The sequence below is a fragment of the Homo sapiens genome, chromosome 12 (genome assembly GCF_000001405.40).
Source record: "Homo sapiens chromosome 12, GRCh38.p14 Primary Assembly".
Lineage (NCBI taxonomy): Eukaryota > Metazoa > Chordata > Mammalia > Primates > Hominidae > Homo > Homo sapiens.
This window is the reverse complement of record NC_000012.12, coordinates 13,146,922-13,164,089: the sequence shown is the minus strand read 5'-3', so window position 1 is coordinate 13,164,089 and position 17,168 is coordinate 13,146,922. Positions and strand designations below refer to the sequence as shown.

At 39.1% G+C, this 17,168-nt stretch overlaps 1 long non-coding RNA gene across 1 annotated transcript; it reads left to right on the top strand.

Moving 5' to 3' along the window:
• Positions 1-14,620: 14,620 nt before the first annotated feature.
• Positions 14,621-16,828, top strand: LOC124902882 (uncharacterized). The gene is made up of 2 exons (XR_007063215.1): positions 14,621-15,925; positions 16,510-16,828. It is a non-coding gene; the product is annotated as an uncharacterized LOC124902882 (long non-coding RNA).
• The last annotated feature ends 340 nt before the right edge of the window (positions 16,829-17,168 follow it).

Sequence of the window (17,168 nt, the reverse complement as noted above, 5' to 3'; positions counted from 1 at the left end):
ATGTTTTTCCCCAGTGTGAGCTTGTGCAAGTGGAGAATGCTGGGAATGTGAAGCCTGTTCCCTATTACTCCACTTCCTTTGCGCACTCAGTTTCCCCTCCCTCCTCAATTTCTTCCGCAGTCTTGATGAGAAATGATAGTCTCAGAGAGAGAGCAAGCTCTTTTACTCAAGTTAGCCACACCACCTATTTCATCTCTTCTGGAAAACTCCTCCCTCAATAAGCACGGCTGGCCCTGTATACTCCCTTTTCCCATTCAACTGCACCTTCAATTTCTCCTGTCCACAGACTTCCTCTGTGTTTATAAGCATGTACAGACTTCTAATAACTCGAGAAATGTTCCTTGATGTCTCCTCCACCATTCACTCTACTTACAATCCTATTCATATTTGCTTGCCATTGCCACACTTCTTCAATCAGTGGTCTGTACAAGCAGTCTCTTCTTTCCCGAAAATCAGTATTTTGTCCCACTTCGTGTTCTATAGAAACTCTACTCCCAGAGGTCAATGAGGAATTGTCTAAAGGTCAATGCCTAATTTTTGGTCTTCGTTCTTCCTCTGCAATGTTGATGTTCCATTCAGTGGGATCCACTTCTCCTCTGGCTTCTGTGACAGTACTCAACCCTCATGTCATCCCCGTCTGCTGCTCTGTCACCTTAATCAACTCCTCTTCTCTTTACTGCCTCCTTCAATAGACATGTGTCAATATGAAGTTCCCAGGGCCTCTGCTATTCTGTTTATTCTGTTTCTCTAGTTAATTCCACTTTCTTAAATGGATGGCTTTTCATTTTGAAAGCGTGTCCCAAATCTGTATCTCCGTATATGACTACTCTGACCTGCAAACGCCTATTGGATATGTTCCTCAGGGTCTTCGTAGTTATTTGATATATCTAAAATTAAATTCATCATCTTTCTGGATTCCCTGTTTCTGTTAATAATACTTCTCTCTCAATTACTCATTTGGAAGCTAAGCTTGAAAACCATTCCTAATTCCTTCACCTGTTTCATCCCCATGTTCAGTCAATCACCAAGTAAGTCAGCTCTTCTTTCTAACAAGTAAAAAGGAGAGTTCTAAAGCAATCTCCTTTCCTCCTTACTCATTTTATTTCTACTGACTTCACCCTCCATAGTTCAGATAAATTGTTTTTTTATTCATTCATTTAACAACTATGCATATATATCAAGTGTCTACTCTGAGCCAGGCTTTGTGCTAGGAATTAGGTAAGCAAAAACAGACTCAGACTTTCCCGATTCCAGCAACAGAATTTATAACCTGGGAGAAGAGACAAGCATCGCTCAGGAAAACTCTAATGAAAATAGAGCTATACACTGAAATTAGTACTCCTGAAAGAGAAGAACACAATTAAGGATTGAAACATCAAGTATGAGTAGAAATTGACTAGACAAATGGAGGTGTCCTGCTCAGAAGAGGAAGAAAGTTGCTTACTGATGGAACAATTTATTCTAAGACTATTTGGTTAAAAGGAATATAGGAGGTTCAGGAAACAGAGAGGCCAATGAGGCTGGAGCTGAGAGGGCAAGGGGTAAGATGAGACTGGAGAAGAAAGAAAGGGACAGACTATGTCAGGTCTAGTCAACCAAGGTAAGGTATTTGGTTGGACTCCATCCTAAGATCAATGAGGAGCAAAGGAAGAGTTGTTACTATTGCTCACTTTGACAGTAGCCACGGCCTCCTGCTGAGATTCTGGCTTTCCTTACTCCAATCTGTGTTGCATGTCATCACAAGCGTTTTCATGGGATAATCTGCTAATCTATCTCTCTACGTTTACTTCCCAACATCATCTTACACAATGTATACATCATAGCTAACCGGTCTACCCTTTGGTCCCTGGGCTATCTTGTGCTTTCCTGACCCTGAGATTTTGCTCACCTCCCATAGCCTCCTCTGCTTCAACTGCTGTCTACCACTCCCCTCTATCTCATGCCTGCCCCCTCATTGAAGGAATCATTTAAATCCAATATTTTCTGGAAATCATAAACCTAACTTAAACATGACTCTCCGTGCTTTCAATAACCATGATACTTATATTGCAAGAGCCTGGGCTTTAGGGCCACGGAGTCTTGGTTTGAGTGCTGATTTTGAGCAAATCACTTATTTCTGGAAGCCTCAGATATCTAATATATAAAATGGATAAAATTATTGTACTTATCATATAGAGTTGTTGGGAGAATTAAATCAGAATACATTTCTGAAGCATCTAAAAGAATACCTGGCACATAGCAAACACTGAATACATGTTACTTACAGGCCCCCTTCTCATTCTCTTACTTTTCAAAAGAAATGATAGGCTTTCTGAAGAAAGGGACTATGTGTTATTTATCTTTATTTCTACACCTGACATAATAGATCTCCAACCCATAACATTGAAGGATTGAAGATGTTGAATGAATGCTGAAAAATGTTAGAGAATTGTTTAATGATGTGGAATGCAATATTAGAAAATCTTTTCATTAACACACCACATTAGTAGATTAAAGGGAGAAATCTGATCATCTCATAGATGGAAAACAGCCAAAATTTAACTTTGTCATGAAAAACATCTTATCAACAGTAAAACATTTATGCCTATCCAATGAAGAAAAAAGAAAAAACGTAACAGTCTTAATCTCAAAAGTGTATTCACTAAAACACTATAGGTAACATTATATTCGATGGTAAAATCTTAAAAGCAATTGCATTAAAGTCAGGAGTAAGACAATAATGCTTATATCAACATTTCCAGTCAGTCCTAGACAGTGAAATAAGACAAGGATTAGAAAAAGAAATGCACAAAGTAAAAAAAAGAATTTACAAAACTGCCCCTACTGGCAGAGGAGAGGAGTGTCTATAGAAAATCTACATTAAAAATGAATATTGGCCAGGCACGGTGGCTCATGCCTGTAATCCCAGCACTTTGGGAGGGCAAGTCGGACAGCTCACTTGAGGTCAGGAGTTCGAAACCAGCTGGCCAACATGGCGAAACCCCGTCTCTACTAAAAATACAAAAATTAGCCAGGTGTGGTGGCGGACGCCTGTACTCCCAGCTACTCTAGAGACTGAGGCATGAGACTCACTTGAACCTGAGAGGTGGAGGTTGCAGTGAGCGGAAACCATGCCACTGTGCTCTAGCCTGGCTGACAGAACAAGACTCTGTCTCAAAAAAAAAAAAAAAAGAGTATCAGTAAAATTAATAAAAGCTTTCAGCAATGTTATTAGAAACAAAATCAATGGGTAAAAATCAACAGTATATATCTGTATCCATATCCATATTCATAGTGCTGAATAACGGAATATTATTCAGTCTTAGAAAGGAGGTACCAATACAGCTACAACATGAAAAGCACCTTAAAAGATTGTGCTAAATGAAAGAAGCCAGTCACAAACGACTACATCATATATAATTTTATTCATATGAAGGCCCAGAAGAGAGAGACATAAAAAGATAGAAAGGAGATCAGTGGGCCGGGCACGGTGGCTCATACCTGTAATCCCAGCACTTTGGGAGGCTGAGGCAGGTGGATCATGAGGTCAGGAGTTCAAGACCAGCCTAGCCAACACAGTGAAACCCCATCTCTACTAAAAATACGAAAATTAGCCGGACATGGTGGCACGCACTTACAGTCCCAGCTACTTGGGAGCCTGAGGCAGGAGAATCACTTGAACCTGGGAGGCAGAGGTTGCGGTGAGCCAAGATCGCACCACTGCACTCCAGCCTGGGCGACAGAGCAAGACTCCATCTTATAAAAAAGAAAGTAGATCAGTGGTTGCCTAGGACTGGAGGAGGTAGGGAGGGACAGGAGAAGGCGGGGAAATGAAGGATACTGGGTTTCTTGCTGTGATGAAAATGTTCTAAACTTGATTATAGAGATGGTTGCACAAATTTTTGAATATAGTAAGCTAATAACCATTGAAATGTACATTTTAAATGGGTGAATTGTACACTGTGTGAACAATAAAGCTATTAAAACTCAATAGATGCCTATAAATAAGTAATACACTGTTAGAAAACTTAGTGGGAAAAAGAATTTCATTCATAAAATCAACAAAAACTGTACAATGTCTACAAATCTAATAAATATTATATAAAACCTTTATTAAGAAAATTACAATGTTGAAGCAAGAAAAGACCTGAATAAATAGAGAAATAAAACATGTTCATGTTCATGGATGGAAGACTCAATTTTTTTTTTTTTGAGATGGGAGTCCTGCTCTGTCGCCCAGGCTGGAGTGCAGTGGCGTGATCTCGGCTCACTGCAAGCTCCGCCTCCCAGGTTCATGCCATTCTCCTGCCTCAGCCTCCCGAGTAGCTGGGACTACAGGCGTCCGCCACCACGCCCGGCTAATTTTTTGTATTTTTAGTAGAGATGGGGTTTCACTGTGTTAGCCAAGATGGTCTCCATCTCTTGACCTTGTGATCCAGCCGCCTGGGCCTCCCAAAGTGCTGGGATTATGAGCCACGGCGCCTGGCCTGAAGACTCAAGATTTAAAAAGACATCAATTCTCTTGAAATAAGTCTTTGAAAAAAATACAATTCTATTAAAATCTTTATTTGGTCCTAAAATTCACATGGAAGAGAAAAGGCCCACAAATCGCCAAGATACTCCTGAAATAGATAAATAAAGTGAGGGACAGGGCTTGCTGGTCCTGTCCCTCACTTTATTTAATTACACTTCGAGGTATCTATAGAAACAAAAATAAGAATGTAATAAAGATTTATGTTCAGAGAGGTTATTTGCTGCATGGTTTATAGTAGCAAAAAAAATCAAGATTTTTTTATAAAGTAAAATTATTGAGACAGTGCATTAATAAGGGATGAACAAGTAAGCCAACAGAGCAGAGAGCTCAGAAACAGACTCTCATATAAACTAAAATTTAATAAATGAGAAAAGTCTCTTTAAAAAAATCAGTGGAGAAAAGACGGCATATTTAGTAAGTGGTCCTGATACAATTGAGTACCCCTAAAATTATATCGCCCCCCTCCCAGCAGTCACAGACATAAATTCCAAGTGGATTAAAACATAAATTTGGAAAGAAAACTTCACGAATTTTAGAATAAAATTGGGAAAATATCTTCAAGACGTCTTTTGTCTTAAACAAGGCAAGAAAACACTAAATTTATATGAAAAAAATACAAACTGATTATTTTTTAAATTCTGCACTATTATAGATGTGAGGAAAAAGTGAAATAAGTCACAGATGAAGAGACCATATTTTCAATGCATATAATCAACAAAGGATGTCTAGAAAATATAAAATACTTTTATAATTCAATATGAAAGAACAAGTAGCACAATAGCAAAATAGTTAAAATATACAATAGGAAATACACAGGAGAAAAACAAATGGCCAATATACTTGTGAAAAAGGCTTGACCTCACTAGAATTATGAAAATGGAAGTTAAAAAAAATTAAAGCTTCTCAATACCAAATCTTCTCCAGGACGCAGAGAAAGAAGAACTCAAAAATTACTGGTGAGAATGTAAATTGGTAAAACCCACTATGGATTAAAATATGGCGATATGTGTAAAATTAAGGATATTCATGTCCTAGGACCCAGCAATTCTCCTTCTCTGTATATATACCTTGGAAAAACTATAGCACAAGTGCACAAGGAGGCACATTAAAGAATTTTTTGCAGCATTTTCTGTGATAGCCAAAAAAGTCCTAATAGAAGAATGAAGAGTTATAATTAAATATCTATAGTAGTTAAAGTGGACAAACTTCAGAAACTTAATTTGGTTATTTGTTTATTTAAAATAAATATTGTTTAATGTAATTTGGAGCAAAAAATAAAAATACGAGAACCACCTCCTGAAGGGCATATTACAGTATGATACCATTTATACACATTTATAAAATGCAAAAAACAACACTGTAACTTAGGACACATGAGTATGCAGTAAAAGTATCAAAACATGCACAGGAACTACCATCAGAAGCCTAAAGAAGTGGCTTTTCGGGTGCAGTGGCTCACGTCTGTAATCCTAGCACTTTGTGGGGCTCAGGCAAGTAGACTGCTTGAGCCCCGGAGTTCGAGACCAGCCTGGGCAACATGGCGAAACCCTGCCTCAACAAAAACCACAAAAATTAGCCAGGCACGGTGGCGTGTGCCTGTGCTCCCAGCTACCCATGAGGCTGAGGTGGGAGGATCACCTGAACCCAGGAGGTCAAGGCTGCAGTAAGCCATGATCACACCACTGCATTCCAGCCTGCGTGACAGTGAGGCGCTGTCACAAAAAAGAAGAAGGAAGAAAGAAGAAGGAGGAGAAGGAGAAGGAGAAGCTTTTCTGGTTGGGGTCAGACAGAAGAATAGTGGAGCATGGCAATGAGCAGTGAGGGGAGTTCCACCAGGGATTCAATTACTTCTAACATGTTTTGCGAAATACGGCAAACTTTAAGATTTTAAAACTGGCAGCGATCGCTTCTCAGCCTTTTGGCTAAGGTCATATGTAAAACTGGTGGTGAGTATACAGAATTCTTATAAATATTCTCTATTTCTTTGTATATATTTAAACTATTTAACAATAATTTTGAAAGTAAAAACCTAAGTTTTTACGAATATGCTAGACAAAGGGTTAATGCCTTTAATATAGAAGAAAGCCTCTTACAAAGGACAAAAACATCCACCATAGATAAATGAAAAAAAATGAACAGAGAATCCAAAAAAATTGTACATAGTTAATGAACATTCTAAGCCATCATCAAAGAAATTCTAATTTAAAATAGATGGATATTATTTTCACATATAAGATTAGCAAAAATATTTTTCTTGGTAATATTCAGTGTTGGCAAGAGTATGATTCCATGAGGTTATTCACTGCTAGTAAGGGCATTAACTATTATTAATCTTCAGGAAAACCATTTGGCAGTTTGGATTAAAATGTCCATAACTTTTTTTGAGAGAGAGTCTCCCTCTGTTGCTCAGGCTGGAGTGCAGTGGCATGATCTCAACCTCCTCCTCCCAGACTCACGCAAACCTCCCAGCTCAGTCTCCCAAGGATCTGGAAGTATGGGTGCACACCACAATGCCTGGCTAATTGTTTGAAGAGATGGGGTTTCGCCATGTTGCCCAGGGTAGTTTTGAACTTCTGGCCTCAAGCAATCCAATCCACCAACCTCAGCTTCCCAAAGTGCTCAGATTACAGGCATGAGCCACTGCGCTCAGCCTAAAATGTCTAACTTTTTACCCTGTAATTAGAAACAAAAATGGGAATGTAATAAAGATTTGTGTTCAGAGAGGTTATTTCCTACATGGTTTATAATAGCAAAAAAAAAAAAAAGAGGAAAAAAGAGGCAGCATAAACATCCAATAATAGGGAATGATTCCATAAATTATAGATTATAGTTTACTCATAAGAGCGATTATTATGTACTCATTCACTTAAGATGATGTTTCTAAAGAATTCTTAAAGTACTTGTAAAAAGGATGCAAAAAAAAGAATTCCTAAAGATATGGAAAAATAACTGTGATGTAATATTAAGTGGCAGTATACGATAGACCTGTACACTGCAGTGTACAACAGTGTCACCCCAGCTATGTAAATATATACAAGGGTCCTCATTACCCACATATTCACTATCTAAGTCACCACAGTTGCAAGATTTCATGAAGTATGAGAGGCAGTTTGGAGAACTACACAAATCACATGCAAAACCACTAGCAGATAAGGAGCTGGAGAGTTAGAGTGGTAAAAAAACAAAGAGAAAGTCAACAAGGATGATACGAGACAGGTCCTGCAAAAGAGAATGATGTAACAGTTAAAGTCTTAAAAGAGACTCTTGAGGAATTTATGAACTCTTCAAATATTTTTACAAAAAATTTCCCTTTTTAATTGTTACCAAAAAATCAAACATGCGGTCAAAGATGTGGTATTGAAGCTTTCATTTTCTTTTAAGGATCACGAGGTCAGGAGATTGAGACCATCCTGGCTAACACGGTGAAACCCCGTCTCTACTAAAAATACAAAAAATTAGCCGGGCGTGGTGGCGGGCGCCTGTAGTCCCAGCTACTCGGGAGGCTGAGGCAGGAGAACGGCGTGAACCCGGGGGGCGGAGCCTGCAGTGAGCCGAGATCGCGCCACTGCACTCCAGCCTGGGCCACAGAGCGAGACTCCATCTCAAAAAAAAAATAAAAAATTGTCTGCCCCATGTCACCCCAAATCTCCTTATTTATTGACATTTTCTTCTAAGAATTGGTATAAAATTGCAAGTATAACTTAAATTTTATTTAAAATACTTACAATAAAATTATTTTTATAATTTCATTACATTCCCAAGATAAAATCATAATCTTTTTAACTGCTTATTATGAAATTTTCACTCTTATTTTAATTAACTTCACATGATCATTTTCTAGTACTGTTATCTTGGTTTAACAAAAACTTCCTGATCGTTCATATAGAAGACAAAAAATAGAATGACACTGTCCAATAGAAACATAACGTGACCCACTCATGCAATTTTAAATTTTCTAGGAAACACGTTAAAAATTTTAAGAACAAATGGATGAAATTAATTTTAATATATTGATTTAACATAACTATCCAAAATATAATAACTTCAACATGTAATCGATATAAAATTATTCATGAGATTTTTAACTAAATCTTCATAATCCAGTCTGCATTTTATACTTACAGTACATCTCAATTTGAACTAGCCACATTTCAAGTTCTATATGGCTCAGGTCTGGAAGAAAATGCACCAAAATTTTGCTTTTCAAAACCCATACAAAATGGTTCATATATGAACTCGATGTGTGAAATTGCTTTCACAATTTAAAAATCTTTTTAAGTTTGGCATTTAAGTATCCCATATTTTTAGCTTTCTTTTTTCACTTGTGAAGGATGTTTTTCTATATCTCTCATTTATGTCTTAAGTATTTAACTAATATATGGCATTTTTCTGTTTCTCTTTATGTCCTTTGAGAGTTGCATTTCATTTCCTACTTTGGCTTTTCTGGTTTTCTAAGCAAATTATTTCCATTTTTTTCCATCCTTTTTACTGGTAGCCTGGCAAACTTACCACTTCTGAGATCATTTCAAAGCAACCCTTAGCCCTGCCAAGTTAATTTATTTCTACCCTTCCCTGCTTTCTCATAGATCAAGATCATTTTTTCTTATATTATTAGAACCATATTGTTTTCTTATGGAACAAACAGCTCCCTTGGACTTCTTTGTCTTTTAAAAAAATTCTTCCCAGAGAACCCTTTAAACTATTGGAATTCACTTGCTTGATGTTCCTTTTTTTTCTCTCCTACAGGATTCCTCCTTTCGTCCTTCAGAATCATACCTTTTACAATACATAAATGTATGGTTGCTTTTAACTAAGTTGCCAGGTGCAAATTCTCAAATACTCCCTGAGCATGACTACGGCATTAAGAGTTGTGTTTTCATTCCTGTAGTTTGATTTCTCTGCCACTTGTCATACATGGCTTTTTCTTTGAAGAGAGTCTAAGAACTGATTTTACATCATTTCAATATAGCCTCCTTTCAAGTCAGACATCAGCAAAAATTGTTGGGCTACGCTATTGCATTCTGTATTGAAGAACTTTGGGTAAATTGTTTAAAGAAAACTCTGGAGCTTGGTCAAGAGATTCTCTGTGTAACATTTTCTTGAGGTCAATTGCTGAATCATGCCTTTCTGAAGTCCTTAAAGTTCCTGAGTTGGTTGAGAACAGAATTGCCAGTATATAATATGATTTAAGTAAATTTGACATCTGCCCCAAATATTAGGCAACTGGCACTCATTACTGTAAGAAACGAAACTCACAAAAAGTAGAAGTGTTCCTTTAAATAATAGAATGAAACTGAAAAAAAAAAAAAGTAAAAGAAGTGGTAGGAGGAGGTACTAGGTAGCAACTTACTGAATACTCACAGATTACCAAAGTGATCCAGCCACAAATTTACGAATGCTGAAAGCTAATTCCCTCATCATCTGCTCAGAAACCTTACAGGCCACTGGCAGAAAACTAGAAGTTGGGTTGTTTCTTCCTCCCACCCACTCTACCCCCGGGGGTGGGAGTGGAGGGCTATGAATCATAGTATTTTAATGCAGAAGGTGGAAAAAATAAAATAGGACAAGCACTAGGATTTGGGATGAAATGAATTAGTGATCATTTATATTTGATATGCATTGTGGGTAAAAGTGGTGAAACAGATCAGATGAGATTATTTGGGGGAGGTTCATTATTTGTTCAAAATCTGCCCTTTGTGTGCAGGGCTTGGGAGACTGAAAGGTACTTGGAGAGTGTTGACATTCTTTATAAATGTTATGAGGTATAGAAAAAGGTAAGGAATAAAAGAGGAGAAAAAAAAGCTGGGTGAAGGAAGGGAGAGAAGGGAGGGGGAAAGAAGAGAGGGAGAAAGAAATTTCATTTACATGTATTTTATTTGAATAAGTTTTCTGGGTGAGGGTAGGGGGAGGCAAAATATTGGTTACAATTTAATTAAATCCAAAAAGCGGTTGTTGAGTACTTGCTCTCTCATAGCTTTTCCTCGGTGCTAAAGAGGGTCACAAGGCAGCACGAGTGACCAGATCTCCACATAAGGCATCACTGTGTCCTCCCTCCTGCTTCTGCAGGCCCGCAGAGGATGGCCCAGTTTTTACCCCATCACGAGGCAGGAAAGCACACCAGGATGGAGCCCAAACCAATTTGGGTGCCCTCTGAACAAGCCCAGTGGGGAGGAGACTCAGACGGCAGGAATGATTCCAGAGCTCATCTGGGGCTTACAGAGCAGACCTTGCTATTCAGTTACTGTAAGCTTACCCTGCAGTGGTCGCTGGCTATTCCCAGGATTCGCTGTCTCCTCATTAACTTCTGAAAGGGCTAGGTTGGAGCTCCTGGCAACGACTCAAACCAGAAGAGAGTGTTTAGGGAGAATGGCCTACACAGCCTATAGAAACATCATCCATTTCTATGAGGATTAATTGTAGCAGGTCACTCTCTTCCCCTAGAAAGGGTAGAGATGCCATAGGTTTAGGGAAATCCTAGTGTCTGGGGCCAAAGAAAAGAGGGGCAGAGTCAGGAGGAAGCCCAGAGAATCCGGGTTGGGGAACTAGTTACCAGCTGTGTGCTACTAGACACGTTGGCCAACCTTTCGTGTTCTCATTACCTCAGTCTTCAAATGATGATAGCATTACCAACACCACCGGGTTCCATTGATGATTACGTGAGATTAGATTTCTGAACATTCTGGAAATGGCTAACACAGATGTTAAACAACATTTGTAAAATTATGAAAGAGAATACCTAGGTAGGTGAGAGAATAGGTTTCTTAGGCAACTAGGGGAGTAAGCTTGGACCAAGCAGGTGGGAGACTAGCGTTCTCCTAAGAGATCCCCTGGAAATCAAGAAAGCACTAGACTCAGTAAGTTGGAGAGAAACATACACACCAGTTAGGGAAACTGTCTAAATAACCAGCCTCTACCCTTAGCTTGTGAACCTGTGACTGCAGTCTCATGATGGTGTTGAACCTAAACTCTGTGTGTTGCCTGTGATAGAATCATAACCAGTAGACACCAGAAGACAGCCTGGAATCCACTGCTGTCCTGGGCTTTAGTGGCCACAAGTATTGTGTTTCTGGAGCCATAAACATGGGAGGGAGAGGCAGCCACAAAGCCAGGGAGCTGGCCGCTTCCAGACATCTGGCTGAAGTTCCACCACACCCTCATCTCCATCCTGTCTGAAACTGCACTCCTGGGGCTGGCCTGAAGCTGGACCAGATCCCACACAAGTTGAGGAGCAAAGCACATCTCCCTAGATAATAACCCAAAGAAAGTCAGTGTTTCTTCTTGGGTCCCAGTTTTGAGGTTTCTTTCCCCTTCTCTTTGATAATTTTACAACATAATTTGCCTCTTTTCGGCCCACATAATAAATCTGTGAGGAGATAAATGAGGTGCTGAATTGACAAGCAGGGCTGTATGGGTCTCACTCCTGGTAAATTCTAGAACTACTAGCTTCTCCATCATATCTAAATGTCAATAAAGACATAGTCTCAAAAACATACCTTAATTTTGCAGATAGTTGAGAGTTCTAGGACACTAATTCTGACCAACTAAAGCAGTAAACATTAATAAGCAAACTTCAGTTAGCTTTGGACAACAAATCCATGTCAATTATAAGATGAACAATATTGAATATTGATAGAGCAGGTTAAAGTTTACAATATGTTTTATACCCATTACCTCATGTGATCATGAAAGCTACCCCGTGAGGCAGGTGTTTGTGTAGCCAGCCTCCGAGCTGTTCCAAATGATTTTCTCCTCCTGATATTCATGCCCTTCTGTAGCCACTCCCACACTGAATAGGGCTCACCTGAAATGATGGAGTGTGGCCTCTAAGATTAGGTCATTAAAGACTTTCTGGCTTTCACCTCATACTCTCTTGGGTTCCTCCCCCCGGAGGAAGCCAGCGGCCATCTTGTGAGGATGCTCAGTGGCCCAGTGGGGCAGGAACAACATGGAAATGGATCCTGAAGTTCCTATCAAGCCTTCAGATAACTGCAGTCACACTCAGCATTTTTAAATATAATTCACATACCATACAGTTCACTCATTTAAAGGATAGAAGTCACTAGTTTTTAGTACATTCACAGATATGTGCAACCATCACCACAGTCAAATTTAGAACACCTTCACCACAAAAACAAAAACCCATAACCTTCAGATGTCACCTCCATATCTTCCCAGTTTCCCCAGCCCTAAGCAACCACTAAACTGTAGATGAGTTTGGAGAATATTGCCATTTTAACAACATTAAGTCTTCTGATCCATGAACATGGAATATCCATTTATTTAGATCTTGTTTAATTTCTTTCAACAATATTTTGTAGTTTTCAGAGTATAAGTTTTCCACTTTTTTAATTTCATTTCTATGTATTTTATTCATTTTGATACTACTGTAAAGGGAATTGATTTGATTGGATTTTCAGATTGTACATTGCAAGTATTTAGAAATACAATGGATTTTTGTATATTGATCTTGTATCCTGCAACCTTGTTGAGCTTATTTATTAGTTCTAATAGTTTTCTTTAGTGGATTCCTTAGGATTTTCTATATACAAGATCATTTCATCTGTGAACAGAGATGGTTTTATTTCTTTTCTTCCAATCTGGATGGCTTTTACTTCTTTCTCTTGCCCAATTGCCCTGGCTAGATCCCCTAATATGATGCTGAATAAAAGTGACAAAAGCAACATCCTTGTCTTATTTCTGAAATTCAGGGGAAAGCATCTAGTCTCACCATTAATACGATATTAGCTGTAGGCTTTTCACAGATACTCTTTGCCAGACTGAGGAAGCTCCCTTCTGTTCCTAGTTTGTTGAGTGTTTTTATCAGGGAAGTGTTTTGGATTTGTCAGATATTTTTTCTGCATCTACTGATATGACCGTGGGCTTTTGGTTTTCATTCTGTTGCTGTGCTGTATTATGTTCATTGACCCACCAACATCTTGACCATGACCTTATGGGACACACTGAGCCAGACCAAACAGCTAATCTGCTCCTGCATTCTCAATGCACAGAAACTGTGTGAGATAATAAATGCTGTTTCTTTCTTAAGCTGATAAATTTTAAGGTAATTTGTTATAAAGAATAGATTACAAAGATAGCATCATTATCATTGTTTTATACATGAAGCAACTGGCATTTGGAGTATTTACTTATCTCACAAACATGCTCTGGGTTAGAGTTGGTAGTGGAAGTGGTTTGAACCAGATCTTCTGACTTAAATCATGAATTTTCCTCCACAAATTTCTATCTTTAGTGACTCAGCCAAGTTTACACAAATTTGATCTCTTTGATTGGCAGGCCCATCTCATATATTGGACAGGTAGTTCACTGCACAGGGCAAGTGGCTGATGGGGCAAATAGTAACTGATACCTGGCCTGTGCTACCTTTTCACATGTGCACAAAGGCATTGCATAAAGCCGGTTGGGTTGTTCCAATAAAATAACTAGAAAAAGTTTTGTATTTCTCTAGTTTCTAGTTTTACATGCCATCAACCAATATTAGTCAATGAGACTTGTCCCACCCAGAAAAATTTTTAAATCCGTGACAAGATTCGTTCTCATTACCATCTGTTCTTACCATCATCACCCACCCAAACCATGCCACCCACAGCCTCTTCCTCAGGATCTGGCTCTTAGGAAGGAGAAAAGTAGGGAAAATACTTCATGTGATTTGAGGGTCTTCTGTGTGCCAATACATAGCTGGACACCTTACACACTCAATTGTAATGTACAATTGTAACTACGCAATTTATCTCCATGAGTTCGACAGGCAAGTATTATTATCCCCATTTTACAGAAAGTAAACCCACTGAGAGCGGTCAAATAACTATCCAAGTCACACAGATGGTTAATGGTGGAAACAGCGTTAGAACACAGGTCCATTTGATTCCAAAAACAATGCTCTGCTCACCATATCTTGCTGTTTCATCTGACTAACAAATCCAAAGATGATGTCCCATGAGGAATATTGACGTTCCCATGGAGAACTACTGCCAAACAAACAACACTTAAGACCAAAATAAATTTATCTCAAACGCTGGACTGTCAAGCCTTAAAATATGGGATGATTTTGGATGTTAAGAACTCCCAATACCCTTCAAAGCATATCACATGAATGACCTCTTTGATTTAAGGGTAGCCCCACTGACCAGTCCCTATGGATACAAACCGACAGTCCACTAAAGTCCATGTCCTGGGTCTCAGAGAATGGTTTACTTTCTAACTCTGCAATGGAAGGAAAGACCTATTAATACAGTAAGGCAGATGTTCACTCATTCCTTCAGCCAATATTTATTTGAAGCTCACAAAAGCAACATCCTTGTCTTGTTTGTATCTGGTATGTGATAAGCCCAGAGGATAGACGACACAGCACTAAACATGGCGGACATGTTCCCTGACCTCATGGAGCTCAGAAGATAATGAGCTCCTTAACTTGCCCTTACCCTCCTACACACCACACACACAGACACACACACACACACACACACACACACACACACGGCTACCCGAAGTGGCAAAGAAACTACTTACATAGCTATCATTAAAACCGCTATAGTAGAAGACTGAATTGATGGGGCACAGCTTGGGGGTTTAAAAGTATGAAGTAACTAAGAAAGTTAAAGCAATGCTTCCAGAAACTTCTCTCACCTTCTCAGGTGAACAACGAGTGCGCATTCACACAGATGCCTCTAAGCAGCTGCACAGGGGCCAGAAGAAGAGGCTCAGACCATTGTTCTCCCCTCACCTCCAGGTCAAGCGACATACATGGCTAGGAGAAAGAGCACTGAGAAGAGCTGACCCTTAGGAAAACTTGGCTTTAAAATCAGGAATGTCCGCTTGTTATTGCCACAGTCTGACTAGGGAATCTCAGGAGGTGGCAGGGTTTGGGTTCATTTTAGAACAACATGTAGAAAGAATTGACGGGCCACCCACAACCTTATCTGAACCTGTAATGTCTACAAAATTGGGCAACAAAGTTTAAAGAAAGAGCTTTTTCCTTACAGGTTTTTGGTGCCAAGACCCCTTCTGGTCCAATTGTAACTAAGTAAATATAGAAGCCAAGAAAAATTAAATGGAATTTTTGGAACTTGATCCTGGATGTGCTGCAAGCTGAGGACAGAAATATTTGGACTGTTGAAAGTGGGGTGTCGGCTTGTTTACTTTAGGGTCCTTCCCATCCTACAGAACTCTGGCCAGTGTTAGAGTCAGACTGGCTTCGAGGCTCCTTGGAAAGATCAAAGTTCAGCGTGATCTGTCCAAATACTTCTCCTTTTACAATGTATCATATGGAGAAAATTAGGTGACAGCCCCCTTTTAAGACAGAACCGCTTCAAAAACTCCATGTACCAGAAAAACTGGTTAGAAAAGTGGAATTTGAAACCATGTCAAAGAAACAGATGCACAAGTACTGATAAGGTAAGAGTGTGGGCAGTCTCGAGGGCTGCCGCAGAGGGCAAAAGAAAAGCAGTAAGCAGGGAGCTGGGCCTGCTTCTGCCTGCGGCCCGAGCAGCTCAGCTTTCACGCCTCATAAACTGGGATGTGAAAAAGCTTCAGTTTAGAGAAAAAGGTCCTGATAGATGAGCTGGCTTAAATAGGTGATAGATAGAGAGATAGATAGATAGATAGATAGATAGATAGATAGATAGATAGATAGAATAGAGATCGATGATAGATTAAATAGATGATTGATAGATAACAGAATAGATATAGATCGATGATAGATTAAATAGATAGATAATAGATAGATGATGATAGATCGATAGAAGATAGATAGATAGATAGATAGATAGATAGATAGATAGATAGACAGACAGATAGAAAGAATGAAGGTTGGAAGGTAAACCAAGACAGAGAGAGATAGGCAAAACATATACAACATGAGAAATCCTGGTGGGGTAGAAAGAATGCTGCCTTGGGAGTTAGGAGAAATGACTTCTGGCCTAGGCTGCCACTAGTTCTGATGTGATCATAACCTGTAAGTCTCTCTCTTTTTTTTTAAGTGCTCTCTAAGGACCTTTAACTCCAACATTAGTTGGCTCTCTGATTGCAAGGAAGCTCTACAAGATGCCTACAGTTGCCTTTAATGATCTTGGAACTTACTCTATAGTCTCCTCTTCATGGGAAAATGGAGTTTTATGGAGAGATCAACCTGGGAACTGTTAGATCCTCTCTATGCTTGGAAGATCCTTGTAACCCATCACAGAGAGCAATTCAGAGAAGAAAATTTGCACACTCTACTCCAAAGAGGACTACCCTGTGCCCTGGGTCATTATAATCACCCCCAAAATGAGAATAATAAAAGCATGTTGTTATTGAGAACTCATAATGGGTCAGATATGGAGCCCAGCATTTTATACATATTAACCCGTTTAATTTCCACAACAGTCCTATGAAATTGGAACTAATATCAATCTCATTTTACAGGTTAGGAAACTAAGGCTCAAAGAGGTTAAGGGACTTGTCCAAAATCATGTTGCTGCTAATAGCAGAAGCCGACTTCAACGTCAGTGCTTTTAACCACTATGCTGTTAAAAATGGAGACCAATATGAAGACCCTGTTGAGATCTGAAGACCCATCAGAGTAAAAGTAGTGAACTGCATTGTCTAGCACACAGTAGCTACTCAATAAAAACAGGAATCTAGAGGGATGCCTCAGAGA